This window comes from Homo sapiens, chromosome 2 (genome assembly GCF_000001405.40).
Source record: "Homo sapiens chromosome 2, GRCh38.p14 Primary Assembly".
In the NCBI taxonomy this organism is placed as follows: domain Eukaryota; kingdom Metazoa; phylum Chordata; class Mammalia; order Primates; family Hominidae; genus Homo; species Homo sapiens.
The window spans coordinates 95,946,038-95,968,077 of record NC_000002.12 but is presented as its reverse complement, the minus strand read 5'-3'; the positions used below and the strand labels follow the sequence as shown (position 1 = coordinate 95,968,077).

Genomic DNA, 22,040 nt, shown 5'->3' with positions numbered 1-22,040 from the left:
CTTTGTCACCCTGGCTGGAGTGGAATGGCACAATCTTGGCTCACTGCAACCTCTGCCTCCTGGGTTCAAGCGATTCTCATGTTTCGGCCTCCCGAGTAGCTGGGATTACATACGTGTGCCACCACACTCAGCTAATTTTTTTTTGTATTTTTGTTGAGATGGGGTTTCACCATGTTTGGCCAGGCTGGTCTCAAACTTTTGACTTCATGTGATCCACCCACCTTGGCCTCCCAAAATGCTGAGATCACAGGCATGAGCCACTGTGCCCAGCCTGCATGATTTTTTTTTAATAAAGAGTCTTGCTATGTTGCCCAGTCTGTTTTCAAACTCCTGGGCTTCTCAAGTGATACTTCTGCCTCAGCCTTCTGAGTAGCTGAGATTACAGGAACGAGCCACTGTACATATATATATATACACACACACACACACCGAGTATATGCCCAGTAATGTGATTACTGGCTCAAATGGTATTTCTGGTTCTAGATCCTTGAGGAATCACCACACTGTCTTCCACAATGGTTGAACTAATTGACACTCCCACCAACAGTGTAAAAGCATTCGTATTTCTCCACATCTGCTCCAGCATCTGTTGTTTCCTGACCTTTTAACGATTGCCATTCTAAATGGCGTGAGATGGTATCTTATTGTGGTTTTGGTTTGCATTTCTCTAATGATCAGTGATGATGAGCTTTTTTTCAGATGTTTCTTGGCTGCATAAATGTATTCTTTTGAGAAGTGTCTGTTCATATCCTTTGCCCACTTTTTGATGAGATCATTTCTTGTAAATTTATTTAAGTTCCTTGTAGATTCTAGATATTAGGCCTTTGTCAGATGGACAGATTGCAAACATTTCCTCCCATTCTGTAGGTTGCCTCTTCACTCTGATCATAGTATTGGAAGTTCTGGCCAGGGTAATCAGGCAAGAGAAAGAAATAAACGGTATTCAAATAGGAAGAAAGGAAATCAAATTGTCTCTGTTTGCAGATGACATGATGGTATATTTAGAAAACCAAATTGTCTCAGCCCCAAATCTCCTTCAGCTGATAAGCAACTTCCTCATAGTCTCAGGATACAAAGTCAATGTGCAAAATTCACAAGCATTCCTATACACCAGTAATAGAGCACTAAATCATGAGTGAACTCCCATACACAATTCCTACAAAGAGAATAAAATAGCAAGGAATACAACTCACAAGGGATTTGAAGGACCTCTTTAAGGAGAACTACAAACCACCACTCAAGGAAATAAGAGGACACAAACAAATGGAAAATCACTCCATGCTCATGGTTAGAAAGAATCAATATCTTGAAAATGGCCATACTGCCCAAAGTAATTTGTAGGTTCAATGCTATACCCATCAAGCTACCATTGACTTTCTTCACAGAATTAGAAAAAACTACTTTAAATTTCATATGGAACCAAAAAAAGAGCCCATATAGCCAAGACAATCCTAAGCAAAAAGAACAAATTTGGAGGCATCATGCTACCTGCCTTCAAAATATACTACAAGGCTACAGTAATGAAAACAGCATGGTACTGGTACCAAAAGAGATATATAGACCAATGGAACAGAACAGAGGCCTCAGAAATAATGCCATACATCGACACCATCTGATCTTTGACAAACCTGACAAAAGGAATGGGGTAAGGATTCCCTATTTAATAAATTGTGTTGGGAAAACTGGCTAGCCTTGTGCAGGAAACTGAAACTGGACCCCTTCCTTACACTTTATACAAAAATTAACTCAAGATGCATTAAAGACTTAAAAGTAAGTTCTCAATGTATAAAAACCCTGGATGAAAACCTAGGCAGTACCATTCAGGACATAGGCATGGGCAAATACTTCATGACTAAAACACCAAAAGCAATGGCAACAAAAGCCAAAATTGACAAATGGGATCTAATTAAACTAAAGAACTTGTGTGCAGTTTTATTTGGGAGTGTGTGTGGGGTACCTCTGAGTTTTAAAAATGAAGAAAGTAAGTAGTCATGCTTTCCTGACTCTTTGGTAGACATAGCCTTTAAGGCAGTCATTCTGAGCTGTTATGGTTTTAGGGTTCTCTATACTACTAAAACTTATTGACGACATGTAACCAAGAACTTGAATTAAATTTTTTTTAAAAAAGAAAAAGAAATCACCCAAATGCACATTAAAAACCTCTTACAACATATGTGCATATTCCTAGATAACATGTAGAACTTGATTTTGTGTATTAAAACCTTGTAGAAAAGTTCAGACAGTACACACAATGACTGCAACTTGGTCTTTGTAAAATCAGTGATATATATATATATCAGATCTATCCATGTTGACCCAGTGAGGTATTTGATTTATTGTATGATCTAATGATATGCCATGTGATGACTGCAGCATATTTAATTATGCTCTCTTCATGTTGATACCATATGGACATAAATATGGTGACATACCAGCATGGATATGCTTATGTGGTTGCTTTTATTGATTTGTACTATATTAGAAATGAAACAGAAGTATGGGAAATCCTAGCAAGCATAGCTGTATCTCTCCCATGGCTGTGTTGATTGCAACTGTTTCCCCCTTAAAGCATGTCTTTTCGACATGTCATGACCCTGAGAAAATCCATTGTGTGCTTTTCAGAGAATGACAGTAAGGAGAGGAAATGGCCAATGGTCAAAGTGTTACTTGTCCTCTTGGCTCCCCCTCATGAATGTTAAACTCTAATCTACTCAGGTCACAATTTAGAACCCCTTTGTTGATCCCTATAGAGTGTTCCCGGATGTCAAATGACAAATAGGCCCTTGAAGAAAAAACACCCTGTAAAGCTGTATTGCTCTGGTTTTTGTGTGTGAATGTGTGTGTGTGTTTGTGTGTGTGTGTGTATTTTTTCTCTTCTGAAAACTGTAAATAGAATAATTTTCATTACAAATGAAAATATTTCTGTTCCATATTTATTTGCTGTCTCATGGCACTCTGCTCTTCTTGGATCTAGTAAGGATCTCAGCGTGTCTTATTTGTACCTGCAAAAAATTACACCATTCTTCATTTTTCATGTCAATTACTGACATGTTTTCAAGTCTTCACAAGTTATTTCTGAAGATGTTGGTGCATTGAGGAGAGGCAGTGTCATTGGAGTTAAAGAAGTTTTTAAATAGGTTATGTTCAATAACATTTCAGAACCCATTTCTCTGGAAGGCATAGACATAGTGGTTTTATGTGTAGTTAAACATAAAATAGCTCCACAAAGTCTTGTGTACATGAAAGGGTTCATATCCTGGAAGATTCTAATTTACTACTCAGTACTGTCTGCTGGAGAGGAAAATAGGTAAGATAGGCTGCTGAGCCTATGATAATAACTCATAATATGATGTGAAAGCATAGAGACAAAATAAGAGATGATAGATACTCAAACCAATGTGAGTGAAGAACAGCTGTGAAAGAGTGTCTATGGGAGAGAGGAAGCCATGGGGCTGCTTTTGTGAAGAAGGAATTTGTACACGTTAGTCAAGTGTCTGATACATTTAACATTTTAGTAAAGCAAAACCTTATCTTCACATGTGTCAGAATGGGATTGTACAAATGTCACATACAGTAGTGGTGAGAATAATGAAGAAGTGAATGTGGAGGGCAAAGAATGAAGTCCACCAATATGGTTATTCGATTTATGAACGAAAAAGAGTGTATGTCAAATTGGGCAGAACAAAGAAAGCAGCTAGCTAGGTAATTTGGAGGTTTCTGATGAGGAGACTTTGGGGAGTCACTTAATGGAAAGTGGAAGTTAGAAGGATGAGGGTGACCCACAGGGTTTCATTTCTCCTCCCTAGAAGTTTTGCACATCAATGATATGTGCTTCGTTCACATCAGTTAGCATATTGGGTTGCAGCTTAATCTAGAAAAAGTGTTTTTTTTTTTTTCTTTAGGAAAGCTGTGTTGGCTGAGGTATTTATTTCATAAAAGGACCTGAGAGACCCCTATGGTATATTATATCAAACTAGCTTTAGAAACAAAGTAATAAAAGAATGTATATCTTGAGTACTAAAAAAAACTACCAATATTCTTGGCAATCATGACACACACACACATATATATATATATATATATATATATATATATATATATATATTTATATATATATATTTATATATATATATTTATATATGTATATATTTGGTTGGTTATTAATAAGAAAAGAAGTCTCTTGTGATTTAGAGATTTTGTTTACCTTATTTACATGGGAATCTGATTATGCATGATTTCTTTGACATGTATGTTTTTGCAAAAGTGGAAAAAGAGATGGCAAAAGAGCTGAACTGCTGAATCCGGGAAATGTAGGAATATTAGGAGCCTTCATGAGTACAAAGAAAATGATTTTTTAAATTATGACTCTAAGTATAACTGAACTCACTTCAGATGCATTTAGAATATTTGCATAAAAGATGATTTGATTTTGGCTGCTCCAGAAACTACTGGCAGAAGGAAAGAGTACTAGAATTCAGATAAACCACAGTGACTCGTTACTTCTCTTTGTTACTATTGGGAATCAGAGACATAGATTTTGTTGATATTAGTTATTCAAATGAAATAAACATGAATGTGCATACATTGGCTTTGTTTTTCAAGGAGCTAACTTTTGGATGCAATAGCAATTTAATGAAAATTCTTCAGAGAATAACATGATACTTCAAACCAGACTATTTTAGAAACAAAAATAATGTTGAATCCATTAATTGATTAATAAAATGGTTATTTTCAATGAATATTGGAGTCATTTCCAAATGTGAAAGCTTATTAATATCTAATGCTTGTAGCAGTTTTATTTTGTAGAAGTATGTCAATATTGATAAATGATGATACTTTTTATTGAGGTTTATATATTATACCTTATTGCCATGAGTGGATGAAAAAACTTTCAGAAGGCTGAACTAGAGAACACAAGAAACTTGGGCAATTATTACACCACATGGTTCTGAGAAATAATGAATACTGTCCACTAGGATTCACCAAACATATATCCAAGCTGATCAATTTAGGACACTTCCACTGAGGAGATGTGAAGTGTACATTCAGCTGAAGTGTCATCATAATTGTGTACCTTCTCAGTTATCAGGCAAGTTAAAGAGCATGATGAATGGTTGTAGTATAATGGTGTATTTCCTTCTCATCTCTTGCACTAAAGACATGTGACAGCATGTACCACCTGCTTTGACATTGATTCGCAGGTGCATGAGTTGCTCCTCTGTTTTTAGACCACATTTGTTTTTATCCCTCCATATATCCACAATGATACTGACACTGTTTCATTTTAGTTTTAGACATATGAAAAATCATATCACGTTTGAAATTGTAAGTGTATTTTTCATGAAGCCTGTATTGGTGTTTTCTTCAGTGTATTTCTGTCATGTTCCAGTCCCAAGACACAAAGTATAAAACATAAAAACCTAAACTAATAGGGGCAGGAGGATACAGCTTGATGGTAACAGTGCATGAATGTATGGATAATTGTATCATATTTACCTATGATTGATGATGTATCCCTTTTGCTTTTCAGTGTCTTCTCAGAAACAACCAGCCTTGAAGGTAATTACACATTCATTTCTGTTTTGAACTATTAACTATATAGTCTGTGAAAAATACTTTACGTATTGATTATTTTGTTTCAAATCCCACTCAGGCTACAAGTGGCAAGGAAGATTCTATCTCGAATATAGCCACAGAAATAAAGGATGGACAAAAATCTGGGACAGGTATTTTGGAATACACATCTAATGTCATGTTCACTCAGGATAGAAGGGAACTGCTGTTCCCTGAATAAATCGCAGGGAGCTCATTGAATCTGCACATTCTGATTCAGCAGGCCTGAGATTCTGCTTTTGTAATAAGTTCTTGGGTGACGCCGATGCTACTGGTCCTTGGCCATGATCTGAGTAGTAAGATTATGTTCTTCCCCACAGTGAAATTGGCAGGAATGATTGGAGAGCAGTGCAAGATATAACAGGCTAAGGGACAGCATATTCTTACTTTAATTCTACAGCATGTTTCCATCATAAAGGGAAGGAGAAAGAGATTAAGTAATAAAAATTATAGGTGTCAGATCAGATTGTTAAAACCACATGGAAGAACTGATTGGAATAACCCATAAACAATGTAGAAAGAGAACTAAGCAGACCTCTGATGTGGTAATTATTTTACTCAAGGAAGAGGGATTGAGAGGAAAGAAGGAGGGAAAAGAAGATGTTATTTATGTAATTTTGGGGTTTCTGCTGCAGAAACCTGATGGGACTCACTTCAGATGCATTTGGAATATTTGCATAAAAGAAGATTAGATTTTGGCTGCTCCAGGAACTACTGGAAGCAGGCTAGATTGCTAGAATTGTGATAACCCACAGTGACACATTACCCCTCTTTGTAACTATTGGGCATCAGAGATATATGTTTTGTTGGTATTAGCTATTCAAATAGGCTAATCATGAATATGCATATATTGGCTTTGTTTTTCAAGGAACTAACTTTTGGATAAAATAGCAATTTAATGAAAATACTTTAGAGAATAACATGATCCTTCAAACCAGACTATTTTAGAAAGAAAAATAATGTTGAATTCATTAATTGACTCCTAAAGTGGTTATTTTCAATGAATATGAGAGCATTTTCCAAATGGAAAAGCTTATTCATATCTAATGCGTACAGTAACTTTATTTTGTATAAGTATGCTAAATTTGATGGTTTATTATACTTTTTGATGAGGTTTATATATTATACTTTCTTGCCATGAGTGGATGAAGAAACTTTCTGAAGGCTAAACTAGAGGATAAAAGAAATGTAGGCACATTATGACTCCACAGCGGTGTGAGAAATAAAGAATATTATATGCTAGGATTCACCAAACATATATTTAAGCTGATCAATTCGGGACACTTCCACAGAGCACTTGGGAAGTGTACATTCAACTAAAGTGCCATTGTCATTGTGTACCTGCTCAATTGTCAGGCAAGTTTAAGAACATGATAAATATTTGTAGTATAATGGTATAAATCCCTCTGATGTGTTACATGAAAAACATGCAGGAGCATTAATCACCTGCTTCGACATTGATTCCCAAGTGTATGAGTTGCTGCTCTGATTTTAGATCACATTTGTCCTCATCACTCGGCATATCCACATTGATAAAGACACTGTTTTATTGCAGTAATAGACATATGAAGAATAATATCACATATGAAATTGGAAGTGTTTGTTGCGTGAAGACTATACTTCTGTTTTCTACAGTGTAATTCTGTCATGTTCCTGTCCCAATACACAAAGTAGAAAACATCAAAGCCTATGCTAATTCAGGCAGGAGGATACAGCTTGATGGTAACACTGCATGAAAGTATGGATAACTTTATCATATTTACATATGAGTGATTATGTATCCCTTCTGGTTTTCAGTGTCTTCTCAGAAACAACCGGCCTTGAAGGTATTATACTCTCATTCATATTTTGAATAATTAACTGTATAGTCTATGAAATATACTTTAGGTATTGATTATTTTGTTTGAAATCCCATTCAGGGTACAAGTGACAAGAACGATTCTGTTTCGAACACAGCCACAGAAATAAAAGATGAACAAAAATCTGGGACAGGTAATTTTGCAATACACATTTAATGCCACGTTCACTGAAGATAGAGGAGAACTTCCCTTCCCCGAATAAATCAGCAGGGGGCTCATTGAAGCTGCACATTCTGATTCAGCGGGCCTGAGATTCTGCGTTTGTAATAAGTTCTTGAGTGATGGTGATTCTGCTGATTTTTGTCCATGATCTGAGTAGTAAGACTATAGACTTCCCTACACTGAAATTGGGAAGAAGAACCATTGGAGAGCAGTTCAAGATACAACAGGCTGAGGGGACAGCATAATTTTGCTTTAATTCTACAGCATGTCTCCATCAAGAGGGGAAGGAGAATAAGATGAAGTACTAGAAATTATAGGCGCCTGATCACATTGCTAAAACCAGAGGGAAGAAGTGATCGTAATAAGCCATAAACACTATAGAATGAGAAGTAACAAGACCACTGATGTTGTAATTATTTTCCTCAGGGAAGAGGGATTGTGAGGCAGGAAGAAGGGAAAAGAAGTTATTTATTTAATTTTAGTGTTTCTGCTGAGGAAACCTGAGGGAACTCACTTCAGATGCATTTAGAATGTTTGCATAAAGGAAAATTTGATTTTGGCTGCTCCTGGAACTACTGGAAGCAGGATAGAGTGCTAGAATTGTGATGAACCACAGTCACCTGTTAACCCTCTTTGTTATTATTGGGCATCAGAGATATATGTTTTGTTGTTATCAGTTAGTCAAATGAGATAAATGTAAATATGCATACATTGGCTTTGTTGTTCAGAGAGCTAACTTTTGGACAAAATAGCAATTTAATGAAAATACTTTAGAGAATGACATGATCCTTCAAACCAGACTATTTTAGAAAGAAAAATAATGTTGAATTCATTAATTGACTCCTAAAGTGGTTATTTTCAATGAATATGAGAGCAATTTCCAAATGGAAAAGCTTATTCATATCTAATGCTTTCAGTAACTTTATTTTGTATAAGTATGCCAAATTTGATGGTTTATTATACTTTTTGATGAGGTTTATATATTATACCTTCTTGCCATGAGTGGATGAATAAACTTTCTGAAGGCTAAACTAGAGGATAGAAGAAATGTAGGCACATTATGACTCCACAGCGGTGTGAGAAATAAGGAATATTATATGCTAGGATTCACCAAACATATATTTAAGCTGATCAATTCAGAACACTTCCACAGAGCACTTGGGAAGTGTACATTCAACTAAAGTGCCATTGTCCTTGTTTACCTGCTCAATTGTCAGGCAAGTTTAAGAACATGATAAATATTTGTAGTATAATGGTATAAATCCCTCTGATGTGTTACATGAAAAACATGCAGGAGCATTAATCACCTGCTTTGACATTGATTCCCAAGTGTATGAGTCGCTGCTCTGATTTTAGATCACATTTGTCCTCATCACTCGGCATATCCACATTGATATAGACACTGTTTTATTGCAGTAATAGACATATGAAGAATAATATCACATATGAAATTGGAAGTGTTTGTTGCGTGAAGACTATACTTCTGTTTTCTACAGTGTAATTCTGTCATGTTCCTGTCCCAATACACAAAGTAGAAAACATCAAAGCCTATGCTAATTCAGGCAGGAGGATACAGCTTGATGGTAACACTGCATGAAAGTATGGATAACTTTATCATATTTACATATGAGTGATTATGTATCCCTTCTGGTTTTCAGTGTCTTCTCAGAAACAACCGGCCTTGAAGGTATTATACTCTCATTCATATTTTGAATAATTAACTGTATAGTCTATGAAATATACTTTAGGTATTGATTATTTTGTTTGAAATCCCATTCAGGATACAAGTGACAAGAACGATTCTGTTTCGAACACAGCCACAGAAATAAAAGATGAACAAAAATCTGGGACAGGTAATTTTGCAATACACATTTAATGCCATGTACACTGAAGATAGAGGAGAACTTCCCTTCCCCGAATAAATCAGCAGGGGGCTCATTGAAGCTGCGCATTCTGATTCAGCGGGCCTGAGATTCTGCATTTGTAATAAGTTCTTGAGTGATGGTGATTCTGCTGATTTTTGTCCATGATCTGAGTAGTAAGATTATAGACTTCCCTACATTGAAATTGGGAAGAAGAACCATTGGAGAGCAGTTCAAGATACAACAGGCTGAGGGGACAGCATAATTTTGCTTTAATTCTACAGCGTATCTCCATCAAGACAGGAAGGAGAACAAGATGAAGTACTAGAAATTGTAGGCGCCTGATCACATTGCTAAAACCGGAGGGAAGAAGTGATCGTAAAAAGCCATAAAAACTATAGAACGAGAAGTAATGAGACCACTGATGTAGTAATTATTTTCCTCAGGGAAGAGGGATTGTGAGGCAGGAAGAAGGGAAAAGAAGTTATTTATTTAATTTTAGTGTTTCTGCTGAGGAAACCTGAGGGAACTCACTTCAGATGCATTTAGAATGTTTGCATAAAGGAAAATTTGATTTTGGCTGCTCCTGGAACTACTGGAAGCAGGATAGAGTGCTAGAATTGTGATGAACCACAGTCACCTGTTACCCCTCTTTGTTATTACTGGGCATCAGAGGTATAAGTTTTGTTGTTATCAGTTAGTCAAATGAGATAAATGTAAATATGCATACATTGGCTTTGTTGTTCAGAGAGCTAACTTTTGGATAAAATAGCAATTTAATGAAAATACTTTAGAGAATGACATGATCCTTCAAACCAGACTATTTTAGAAACAAAAATAATGTTAAATTCTTTAATTGACACCTAAAATATTTATTTTTATTGAATATTGGAGTGATTTCCAAATGGACAACCTTATTCAGATGTAATGCTTGTAGCAACTTTATTTTGTGTAAGTATATCAAATTTGATAATTTTTTATACATTTTTATTAGGTTTGTATATTATACCTTGTTCCCATGAGTTACTGACAAAAGTTTCTGAAGGTTAAACCAGAAAATACAAAAGTGTAGGCTCATTATTATACCACATGGGTATGAAAAATAATGAATAGCATATAATAGGATTCACCAAACATATATCCAAGCTGACCAATTCAGGACACTTCCACTGAGGAGCTTTGAATTGTACATTCATCTAAAGTGTAATTGTCATTGTGTACCTGCTGAATTGTCAGGCAAGTCAAAGAGCATGATGAATATTTGTAGTATAATGGTTTAAATCCTTCTGATGTCTTGTATGAAAGACATGCGTGATCCTGGCTCACTTCAACTTTCACCTTCTGGGTTCAAGTGATTCTCCTGTCTCAGTCTCCTGAGTAGCTGAGTTTAGAGGTGTGCACCACCAACCTGGTAATTTTTGTATTTTTACTAGAGACCGGCTTTCGCCATGTTGGCCAGGTTGGTTTCGAACTCCTGACCTCAAGTTATCCACTCACCTCAGCCTCACAAAGTGCTGGGATTACAGGCGTGACCCACCGAGCCCTGCCTACATGATTTTTTTTTTTAACTTTTTAAAAATAAAGATAGAGTGTTTCTGTGCTGCCCAAGCTGGTCTGAATTGCCTGGGCTTCTCAAGTGATATTTCTGCCTCAGCCTTTTGAGTAGCTGAGATTATAGGAACAAGTCACTGTGCTCTTTTATGTTTTTAATATTTTATAGGTTCCTATTGTTGATTTAAAATGCATTTTACTTTTTGTTTGATAGTGCTTCCTGCTGTTGAACAGTGTTTAAACAGGTATGATTTCACAGATTTTTTAAAGTGATATGTTAACTTAGTTAATAGAGAGAATAGAAACTAGTGCCCGTTTAGTGTTCTCCTCTGTGCTAGACACCGTATTACATGCTTAATATTTATCATGTCATGTCATCTCCACACAGCTTTACAAACTATTTGTGCTATTATTGCTTTTTTACTAATTAGGCAACTCTGCTTTAAAGAGGTTGAAATATTGGCTCATGATTCCACAGTTAACAGGTAGCCAACCCATGATTTGACCATCATCCTGCCTGGCTCTCTAATCACTTCATTTGCCCCTAAGCATAGATGGATACAGACCTATGCAGCAATGCGATCACGGTACTGGTGTAACTCAGATCAATTCAGAAAGTCACATTTTGTTATATATTAACTCTCTTTAGAGTATTCCTTAGAAGCCTGGATACTCCAAAACTTTGTCCAAATATTTTGGAAATGGCAGTGGTAACCATATTACTTTTTTTTTTAACCATCAAAATTTTAAAGGCAGATATCAGTTACCTGTGGCCACAAGACCGTAAGTTTTTTGTAAGCAAGACTAGGCCAGTCCTAGAAAAATATTATTTTACTGTGCATGGAGAATATCTAAATATAGACCATGTTATGATAACTATATTTAGCATATATTAAAATGATATTTCTAATTCATTTCTCTACTTACTCCCTACCCAGTTAGGTTTTCTCTTTAAGTGAGTACCCTGCCTAGTTTGCTGAAGCTTTTTCTTATTTTTTGGATTCTTCTTTTTTCCTTCTATGACATTTTAGTATTTTCTTGATTTCTTTTCACTTTCTCTACCACTTTTCTTAGGGTTTAAGACCTTCTTTTGTAGTTTTCATGTATGGCAGCTAAATATTCCCCATTTTCCTACAGACACAATCAGAGGTGCTTAGAATTTCAGAATGTTAAGAAATCCTAGAGACTAAACAAAGTATCCTCTAGTGCTTGAATCCTTGCTTAACATCCTGATCAAGTGGTTGTTCAGGTGGAGAACCTGAAACTCAAAGAGAGAAAATTATTTGGATACAGTAAATCAGAGAAATGAGAATTGCACTCAGGTTTCTTAGTTCAAAACGCAGTCTTCTTTTACATCATTCTGTCATTGAGTGATTTTAGTTTTAGAAAGAAGGAGTGGCTCTAGTGAACACAGTGGAAGAGGATGAGAATGGAATGAGCTGTTGAACCCAATGAAAGTGAATAAGAATGGAATTTGCAGGGGACAGCCAAATTTGAAGAGAAACAAACTCTTAGTTTGATAGAAATGAGGGTTTTAGGGAAAAATCTGAATATTTGGTTTAATGCAAGTTTGATAAAGATAAGGGAAATGATAACACAGGATGTTGGGAGCTATCAAGAAAGGCATATTAGAATATGGCATTCAAGGAGTTCTGAAGAGTTTGCTGCCTTTTTGTTTGTTTAACTGGAGGAACTGACAAACTTCAAGGTTTTATTGAAAAATGTTAAAAGAATTTGAGCCACTGGAAAGAGTCTCCAGAGGAGATAGGAATGTGGTATCATCTTCTTCCATCCCAGCTTACAGAGGGCTTAGAATCCCTCAAGAACTAGGGAGCTGGAGATTGCTTAAGTACATAGATCTGTGATCCAGGGTGGATGTCTCTTTTTTTCTGACTCTTTTCTCAATTCTCTCATGTACATGTAGGGTAGGACAAATGTAGGATTGGCCGGCAAACCAGCAATGAAGCTTCATTTGGGTAGTTGGTAACATGCATATGCTTGGGGTGGATGACTGAGACTAACTTACTTTCCAGAAGCAGAGGAATAGAGAGCTCCTACTCTCAATTATGTTAGCCCATCTTTTGAGGAATCTGGGCTTTCCTATGCTGAAGACATAGATTGGAGATTGCCACAGATCCCTGCAGAAGAGGGATCCAGAAGTGGGAGCCCATAGGGAGGAAGATATTTAGATAGTGATGAATGAAATGGAGCTATAAGTACTTAGGAGGGAGACTTTTCCAGCAGTCTCTCTCTTGGGCATCTGAGTGTCTATGAAGGTTCTTAAGCTTGCTGGTTTTTGTGGATCTGAATAAAGCAGGATCTATATAATGACGATAATTGGATTTTAAAATTTTTAATGTTTTAATCTTCTGTGAAGAATATTCCCAATAACAATCTAACAACATATACATTTGTACTTTGACTTTTGTACACTCAGCTTTCAAACATTTGCAGTGTTTCAGGGGGGCTCCCTGTAGTGTTCTAGGGTGAAAAGAATCAATGGGCCCTCTTTAAGTAGCTTACATGCTGAAGATCCAAGACTCCCATTTTCCAGTGACACAGATTAGTCTTTGAATCAGAAATAGATAATGGAGAAGAGACCGTGCCTTTTCTACCTTGTTTTAGGTTATCAGGTTGACTCCAGTTCAGTAACAAAAGTTGTGTCAGATATCAACTGGATTTTCAGTTTAGCCTTTATGGTAGATAATTTATAAGGACAAATTATTGTCTGGCCACGCCATTATAATGCCTGTCACTATTTGTGATGGGTTTAAGGGTGAGTCTGCATTGGATATTTCATAGGTTAGGAGAGTTGGAGGCAGAAATAGGTAACTGAAATGTTTTCTAAAACGGAAGCCATATCTTAATTATACCAAGAAATATTATTTAATATGCAGATAACTGAGTTTCCTCAGACTTTGTTTTACCATTTTTTTGGAGTGGACATACATGTATAGACTGACGGTTTTTGTTTTCTTTTAAGAAATGAACGTGCTCATTTTTGCTGTATCTTTTTGCTCTGTAGGAGTCTCTACAGACCGGATGCTGTTGCACAGCCTGTGACAGAGGATGAGTTTGCTTTGGAATCTGAGGTAGAGTACTCTCTTGTGAAATTAATTTTCTCACTCTGAATCTCTTTTTTTATATTATTTTCTTCTAAAACTTAGCAGTTGTCTACCTATCATTGTTTTATGTTAGTATTAAAACTTTTATTAGAGAAAACCATTTTAAAGAAATGAGAGGGGTTAATTTTAATTTTTTTTACTTTGGCAAATAAGAAATAGTTGATAAATACTTTGAGAGGTGTGATCTGAAAAAAAAATTGCTGGGAAATACACAGTGACAGAAAAATGATGTTCGGGAATGCTTTCCCACAGTAGAGGATATACAAATTTTGGTCTAGGCTTATTTGAGTGTTTTTACTTTGAGTTGTATATCATATGAGTATGACTAATAATACCTCTGTTTAAATGAATCTTTAATACATCAGATGACTTATCAAAGAAATCATGGAATCACTCTGTTACACATAGCATATAGTTTCTTTTTATTTCTTGTGCACATATTTTGATATCATACTGTATTTTTGCAGAGAGCTATTTCTTTATTTTTATTCCTGGCTCTGTAATTAGACTAAAATAATATTAGAAATTGTGGAAATTTAACTAGACATGGTATCATGTGCCTGTAGTCCCACCTATTCAAGAGATCAAGTCAGGAGAATTTCTTGAGCCCAGGAGTTTAAGACCAAGCTTGGCAATATAACAAGTGCTTATCTCTAATTTTAAAAAGTTGTGGAATATTAGAAATTCAAATTCTGTGCTCAAATCTGTATTAGAGAGAGTTTACACTGTGTTTTCCAAGCCTTTTTTATTTAGAGTATACTTTAAACTCTTTATTTAATTGAAAAATATGCATTTTGTTTAAATAACCTGTTTGATAAACAGAGACTCTTCATATTTTTATGGTCAGACTTTAATTTCACAATGTTTTTGCATTGTAATTAAAAAGAATCCACTCAGGGTCTTTGTATCGCATTCTAAATTTCAAATTTCAGAGGCTTTTGTGCTTAGTTATTGAAAAAATAATTGTAAAGCTCCTGCATTACTATGAGGCACTTGAAACTAGAAAACCTATTTGTATGTTTCCTGGAATACACAGAATAAGGTCTTGCATGTAAGAAACACTTTAATAGTTTTTAATGTGAATCAGCAAACAGGTAAATGGGCTTTCTCATAATGGAATGTTACAGGTAACCTAATATGCATGACATATCTAATAATTAAATCTATTAAATGTCTTGAATGTTTTGAATTTATCTTTTTTTCTAATGTTGAGAATGTATAAGTTGAGGTGAGTTATGTTGAGAAAATATGTCATATAGAAGAAAATAAAATTTAGAAAAGATGAAAAGGAAATAGGAGAGGTGGATACAGCCTGTTTTCTAATATCTTCCAACTGGAAGCTTAGTTTAGGATTTTAGATTAAATTTTCTTAAATTTTTAAAGCCCCAATCATGTTCTATTAAATACCTTTTTTTTGGGACATACATTACTCTTTCAAATTCTGAATAAAAATTCTTTCTCCAGGTGTTAAGTTGCTGGAATTTTATTGTTTTTTTTTTTCTTTCCCTCTCTCTCTCTCTGTAGTAAGAATGTGTCAGTTTTCAGATCAATCATCATGGTTAACTCTTGGGATGTGTTATTTTATAGTAAACAAATGAAACTCTTTGTTACATAAGTATTTACACAAAACAAATTGTCGAGTAAATGCTAACCAGTATTATTAGGCATATATTATGAACACAAGCTTTTCTTTTAAGCGCATATTTGATTGACTGGTCATGTCTCTTTTTTTGTTTGTTGCTCCCTCCTTTCCCTTTGTTTAAAAATGATTTACCTCAGTCTAACTTTCTCCTTGCAGACCACATGTCTTTAGTGTCTATTCTTTCATTTCACTTCTGTTTCTATTGTCAGGATACTTAGTTACAGCTTTCTATTTAGTAGCTATGTGTGGCCTTCATTCATGAATCATTGCTCCATAAGGTGGATGGTTGCTTTTTTCTGTCTTTTTTGGAAGGAGCTGAAGTTATACTATAATTTGTTTTTAGCTTTTGACACGCTGAATAGAAGCAACTTGTACTGTTTCTGATGCCAACCCATTTAAATATAGTACTACTAAAAACTACATTCTCACATTTTTTCCCACAGAAAGTAATTCGCACAAACATACATCATCATGCATACCTATTTTGAAAAATAATGTGATTAATTTACTTTTTTTATTATTAGTTTTATTCAGTAATACTCTAAATTACATATGAGTACATTTTTGTCCTAGTTTGTTGTGGTTAATAAAAGAAACTAATGGATATCATAGTATTTGTATAATAATCAACATGGGTTGAAAGGAATAACATTTTGAAGATATCTGTATCACCAATCATAACCATCACCCCATGTGAATCTGTAGATTAGTAAATGGCAGACTTGAGGTTTGAATCTACATATGAGTGATTTCAATGTCCATACTTTTCCTGTTAGATCACGTAGTAATGGTGGGTATTATCCTTATTTTAACTTGCTCCATGTTATTCTTAAACCTATTGTGTTTTTCTTCTAGATTATTTCAAAACTATACATCCCAAAGAGAAAGATTATTTCTCCACGATCTATAGAAGATGGTAAGTTATTTGAAGCCTGCCTATTGTAGTATTTACTGATTCTTCATTTGTTTTTTTTTTTTTTTTCTTTGTGAAACACAGTCTTACTAGTCTGCAGCACAGGCTGGAGTGCAGTGCTGTGATCTTGGCTCACTGCAGTTTCCATCTCCTGGGTTCAAGTGATTCTCCTGCCTCAGCCTCCCGAGTAGCTGGGATTACAGGCGTGCACCACCACACCTGGCTAATTTTTGCATTTTTAGTAGATTTGGAGTTTCACCATGTTGTCCAGGCTGGTCTCAAACTTTTGACCTCAAGTGATTCCCCCGCCTAGGCCTCCCAAACTGCTAGGATTACAGGCATGACCCACCACACCAGGCCTTGTTGATTATTATTATTATTTTTATAAGGATAGAGTCTTGCTATGTTACCCAGGCTGGTCTCAAACTCCTTGGCTTCTCAAGTGATACTTCTGCCTCAGCCTTCTGAGTAGCTGGGATTATAGGAACAAGCCACTGTGCTTTTTTATGTTTTTAGTATTCTATAGTGTTCTATTGTTGATTTAAAATGCATTTTACTTTTTCTTTAATAGTGCTTCCTCCTGTTGAAGAGGCTGTTGACAGGTATGATTTCAGAGATTTTTTAAAGTGATATGTTAACTAAGTGAATAGCGAGAAGAGAAACTAGTATCTGTTTAGTGTTCTACTCTGTGCTAGACACCATATTACATGCTTAACATTTGTCATGTCATGTCATCTTCACACAACTTTAGAAACTATTTGTGCTATTATTGCTTTTTTACTAATTAGGCAACTCTGCTTTAAAGAGGTTGAAATATTGGCTCATGATTCCACAGTTAACAGGTAGCCAACCCAACATTAGACCATCATCCTGCCTGGCTCTCAAATCACTTCATTTGCCCCTAAGCATAGATGGATAGAGGCCTATGCAGCAATGGGGCCACGGTACTTATTTACATCAGATCAATTCAGAAAGTCACATTTTGTTATATATTAACTGTCTTTAGAGTGTTATTTAGAAGCCTGGCTACTCCAAAAGTTTGTCCAAATATTTTGAAATGGCAGTGGTAACCATATTACTTTTTTTTTTAACCATCAAATTTTAAAGGCAGTTATCAGTTATCTGTGGCCACAGGACCCTAAGTTTTTCATAAGCAAGACCAGGCCAGTCCTAGAAAAATATTATTTTACTGTGCTTGGAGAATATCTAAATATAGTCCATGTTATGTTAACTATATTTAGCATATATTAAAAGGATATTTCTAATTCATTTCTCCACTTACTGCCTAACCAGTTAGGTTTTCTCTTTAAGTGAGTACCCTGCCTAGTTTGCTGAAGCTTTTTCTTATTTTCTGGATTCTTCTTTTTTCCTTCTGTGACATTTTAATAATATTTTCTTGATTTCTTTTTACTTTCTCTTCTGCTTTTCTAAGGGTTTATGATCTTCTATTATAGTTTTCATTTAAGGCAGCTAAATAGTCCCCATTTTCCTATAGACAAAATCAGAGGTGCATAGAATTTTGGAATGTTAAGAAATCCTAGAGACTAAACAAAATATCTTCTATACTTGAATCCTTGCTTAACATCCTGATCAAGTGGTTGTTCAGGTGGAGAACCTGAAATTCAAAGAAAGAAAATTATTTGGATACAGTAAATCAGAGAAATGAGAATTGCACTCAGGTTTCTTAGTTCAAAACGCAGTCTTCTTTTACATCATTCTGTCATTGAGTGATTTTAGTTTTAGAAAGAAGGAGTGGCTCTAGTGAACACAGTGGAAGAGGATGAGAATTGAATGAGCTGTTGAACCCAATGAAAGTGGATAAGAATGGAATTTGCAGGGGACAGCCAAATTTGAAGATGTAGATTGGGGATTGCCATGGATCCCTGCTGAAGAGGGATCCAGAAGGGGGAGCCCATAGGAAGGAAGATATTTAGATAGTGATGAATGAAATGAAGCTCTAAGTACTCAGGAGGGAGACTTTTCCACTAGTCCCTCTCTTGGGTATCTGAGTGTCTATGAAGGTTCTTAAGCTTGCTGGTTTTTGTGGACCTGAATAAGGCAGGATCTATATAATGACAATAATTGGATTTTATAATTTTTAATGTTTTAATCTTCTGTGAAGAATATTCCCAAAGTACATTTGTACTTTGACTTTTGTACACTCAGCTTTCAAACATTTGCAGTTTTTCAGGGGGTTCCCTGTAGTGTTCTAGGGTGAAGAGAATCAGTGGGCCCTCTTTAAGTAGCTTACATGCTGAAGATCTAAGACTCCCATTTTCCAGTGACACAGATTAGTCTTTGAATCAGAAATAGATAATGGAGAAGAGACCGTGCCTTTTCTACCTTGTTTTAGGTTATCAGGTTTACTGCAGTTCAGTAACAAAAGTTGTGACAGATATCAATTGGATTTTCAGTTTAGTCTTTAGGGTAGATAATTTATAAGGATAAATTATTGTCTGGCTGTGCCATTATAATGCCTGTCACTAATTGTTATGGGTTTAAGGGTGAGTCTGCATTGGATATTTCATAGGTTGGGAGAAGTGGCAGCAGAAATAGGTAACTGAAATGTTTTCTAAAATGGAAGCCATATCTTAATTATACCAAGAAATATTATTTAATATAAGGATAACTGACCTTCCTCAGACTTTGTTTTACCATTTGTTTTGGAGGGGACCTGCATGTATAGACTGACGGTTTTTGTTTTCTTTTAAGAAATGAACGTGCTCATTTTTTTCATATCTTTTTGCTCTGTAGGTGTCTCTACCTACTGGACCGTTTTGCACAGGCTGTGACAAAGGATAAGTTTGCTTTGGAATCTGAGGTAGAGTACTCTCTTGTGAAATTAATTTTCTCACTCCGAATCTCATTTTTTATATTATTTTCTTCTAAAACTTAGCAATTGTCTACCTATCATTGTTTTATGTTAGTATTAAAACTTTTATTAGAGATAACCATTTTAAAGAAATAGGGGGGGTTAATTTTAATTTTTTTTTACTTTGCAAATAAGAAATAGTTGATAAATACTTTGAGAGGTGTGATCTGAAAAAAAAATTGCTGGAAAATACATAGTGACAGAAAAATGTGGTTCTGGAACGCTTTCCCACAACAGAGGAGATACAAATTTTGGTCTAGGCTTATCTGAGTAAGTGTTTTTACTCTGAGTTGTATATCATATGAGTATGACTAATAATACCTCTGTTTAAATGAATCTTTGTTACATCAGATGACTTATTATGGGAATCATGGAATCACCCTGTTACACATAGCATATAGTTTCTTTTCATTTCTTGTACACCTATTTTAACATCATACAGTATTTTTGCAGAGAGCTACTTCTTTATTTTTATTCTTGGTTCTATATATTTAGGCTAAAATAATATTACAAATTGTGGAAATTTAACTAGACATGGTATCATGTGCCTGTAGTCCCACCTATTCAAGAGTTCAAGCCAGGAGAATTTCTTAATCCCAGGAGTTTAAGACCAAGCTTGGCAATACAGCAAGAGCTTATCTCTAATTTAAAAAATTGTGGAATATTAGAAATTTAAATTCTGTTCTCACATCTATAGTAGAGAGGGCTTACACTGTGTTTTCCAAGTCTTTTTTATTGAGTATACTTTAAACTCTTTATCTAATTGAAGAATATGCATTTTGTTTAAAATAACAACCTGTTTGATAAGCAGAGACTCTTCATATTTCTATGATCAGACTTTAATTTCACAAGGTTTTTGCATTGTAATTAAAAAATAATCCACTCAGGGTCTTTGTATCTCATTCTAAGTTTCAAATTTCAGAGGCTTTTGTGCTTAGTTATTGAAAAAATAATTGTAAAACTCCTGCATTACTATGAGCCACTTGAAGCTAGAAAATCTATTTGTATGTATCTTAAGCACCCAGAATAATGTCTTGCATGTAAGAAACATTTTATTAGTTTTTAATGTGAATCAACAAACAGGGAAATGGGCTTTTTTTAAATGGAATGTTACAGGTAACATAATATGCCTGAGATATCTAATAATTAAATCTATTAAATGTCTTGAATGTTCTGAATTTATCTTTTGTTCTAATGTTGAGAATCTATAAGTTGAGGTGAGTTATCCTGAGAAAATATGTTATAGAAGAAAATGAAAATTGGAAAAGATGGAAAGGAAATAGGAAAGGTGGATACAGCGTGTTTTCTAATATCTTCCAAATGGAAGCTTAGATTAGGATTTTAGATTAAATTTTCTTAAATTTTTAAAGCCCCAACCATGTTCTATTAAATACATATTTTTCAGGACATACATTACTCTTTTTTTATTTTTTTATTTTTTTATATTATTATACTTTAAGTTTTAGGGTACATGTGCACATTGTGCAGGTTAGTAACATATGTATACATGTGCCATCATCTAGCATTAGGTATATCTCCCAATGCTATCCCTCCCCCCTACCCCCACCCCACAACAGTCCCCAGAGTGTGATATTCCCCTTCCTGTATCCATGTGATCTCATTGTTCAATTCCCACCTATGAGTGAGAATATGCGGTGTTTGGTTTTTTGTTCTTGCGATAGTTTACTGAGAATGATGATTTCCAATTTCACCCATGTCCCTACAAAGGACATGAACTCATCATTTTTTGTGGCTGCATAGTATTCCATGGTGTATATGTGCCACATTTTCTTAATCCAGTCTATCATTGTTGGACATTTGGGTTGGTTCCAAGTCTTTGCTATTGTGAATAATGCTGCAATAAACATACGTGTGCATGTGTCTTTATAGCAGCATGATTTATAGTCCTTTGGGTATATACCCAGTAATGGGATGGCTGGGTCAAATGGTATTTCCAGTTCTAGATCCCTGAGGAATCGCCACACTGACTTCCACAATGGTTGAACTAGTTTACAGTCCCACCAACAGTGTAAAAGTGTTCCTATTTCTCCACATCCTCTCCAGCACCTGTTGTTTCCTGACTTTTTAATGATTGCCATTCTAACTGGTGTGAGATGGTATCTCATTGTGGTTTTGATTTGCATTTCTCTGATGGCCAGTGATGGTGAGCATTTTTTCATGTGTTTTTTGGCTGCATAAATGTCTTCTTTTGAGAAGTGTCTGTTCAAGGACATACATTACTCTTTCGAATTCTGAATAAAAATTCTTTCTCCAGGTGTTAAGTTGCTGGAATTTTATTGTTTTTTTTTTTTTTTTTTTTTTCCTCTCTCTGTCTCTCTCTCTCTGTTTGTAGTAAGAATGTTTCAGCTTTCAGGTGAATGATCATGGTTAATTCTTGGGATGTGTTATTTTATAGTAAACAAATTAAACTTTTTATTACA

At 35.2% G+C, this 22,040-nt stretch overlaps 1 protein-coding gene across 2 annotated transcripts in view; it reads left to right on the top strand.

Annotated features, from left to right (window-relative positions):
* Nucleotides 1–22,040, top strand: part of ANKRD36C (ankyrin repeat domain 36C) — a 142,893-nt gene that overhangs the window by 23,747 nt on the left and 97,106 nt on the right. For both annotated transcript variants that reach the window (NM_001310154.3, NM_001393982.1), the window contains exons 7-17: nucleotides 5,531–5,559; nucleotides 5,654–5,726; nucleotides 7,411–7,439; nucleotides 7,533–7,605; nucleotides 9,293–9,321; nucleotides 9,415–9,487; nucleotides 11,262–11,292; nucleotides 14,073–14,139; nucleotides 16,670–16,730; nucleotides 17,299–17,329; nucleotides 19,482–19,548. In NM_001310154.3, coding sequence (NP_001297083.1) covers nucleotides 5,531–5,559; nucleotides 5,654–5,726; nucleotides 7,411–7,439; nucleotides 7,533–7,605; nucleotides 9,293–9,321; nucleotides 9,415–9,487; nucleotides 11,262–11,292; nucleotides 14,073–14,139; nucleotides 16,670–16,730; nucleotides 17,299–17,329; nucleotides 19,482–19,548 — 563 coding nt within the window. The remainder of the gene's footprint in view (nucleotides 1–5,530; nucleotides 5,560–5,653; nucleotides 5,727–7,410; nucleotides 7,440–7,532; nucleotides 7,606–9,292; nucleotides 9,322–9,414; nucleotides 9,488–11,261; nucleotides 11,293–14,072; nucleotides 14,140–16,669; nucleotides 16,731–17,298; nucleotides 17,330–19,481; nucleotides 19,549–22,040) is intronic.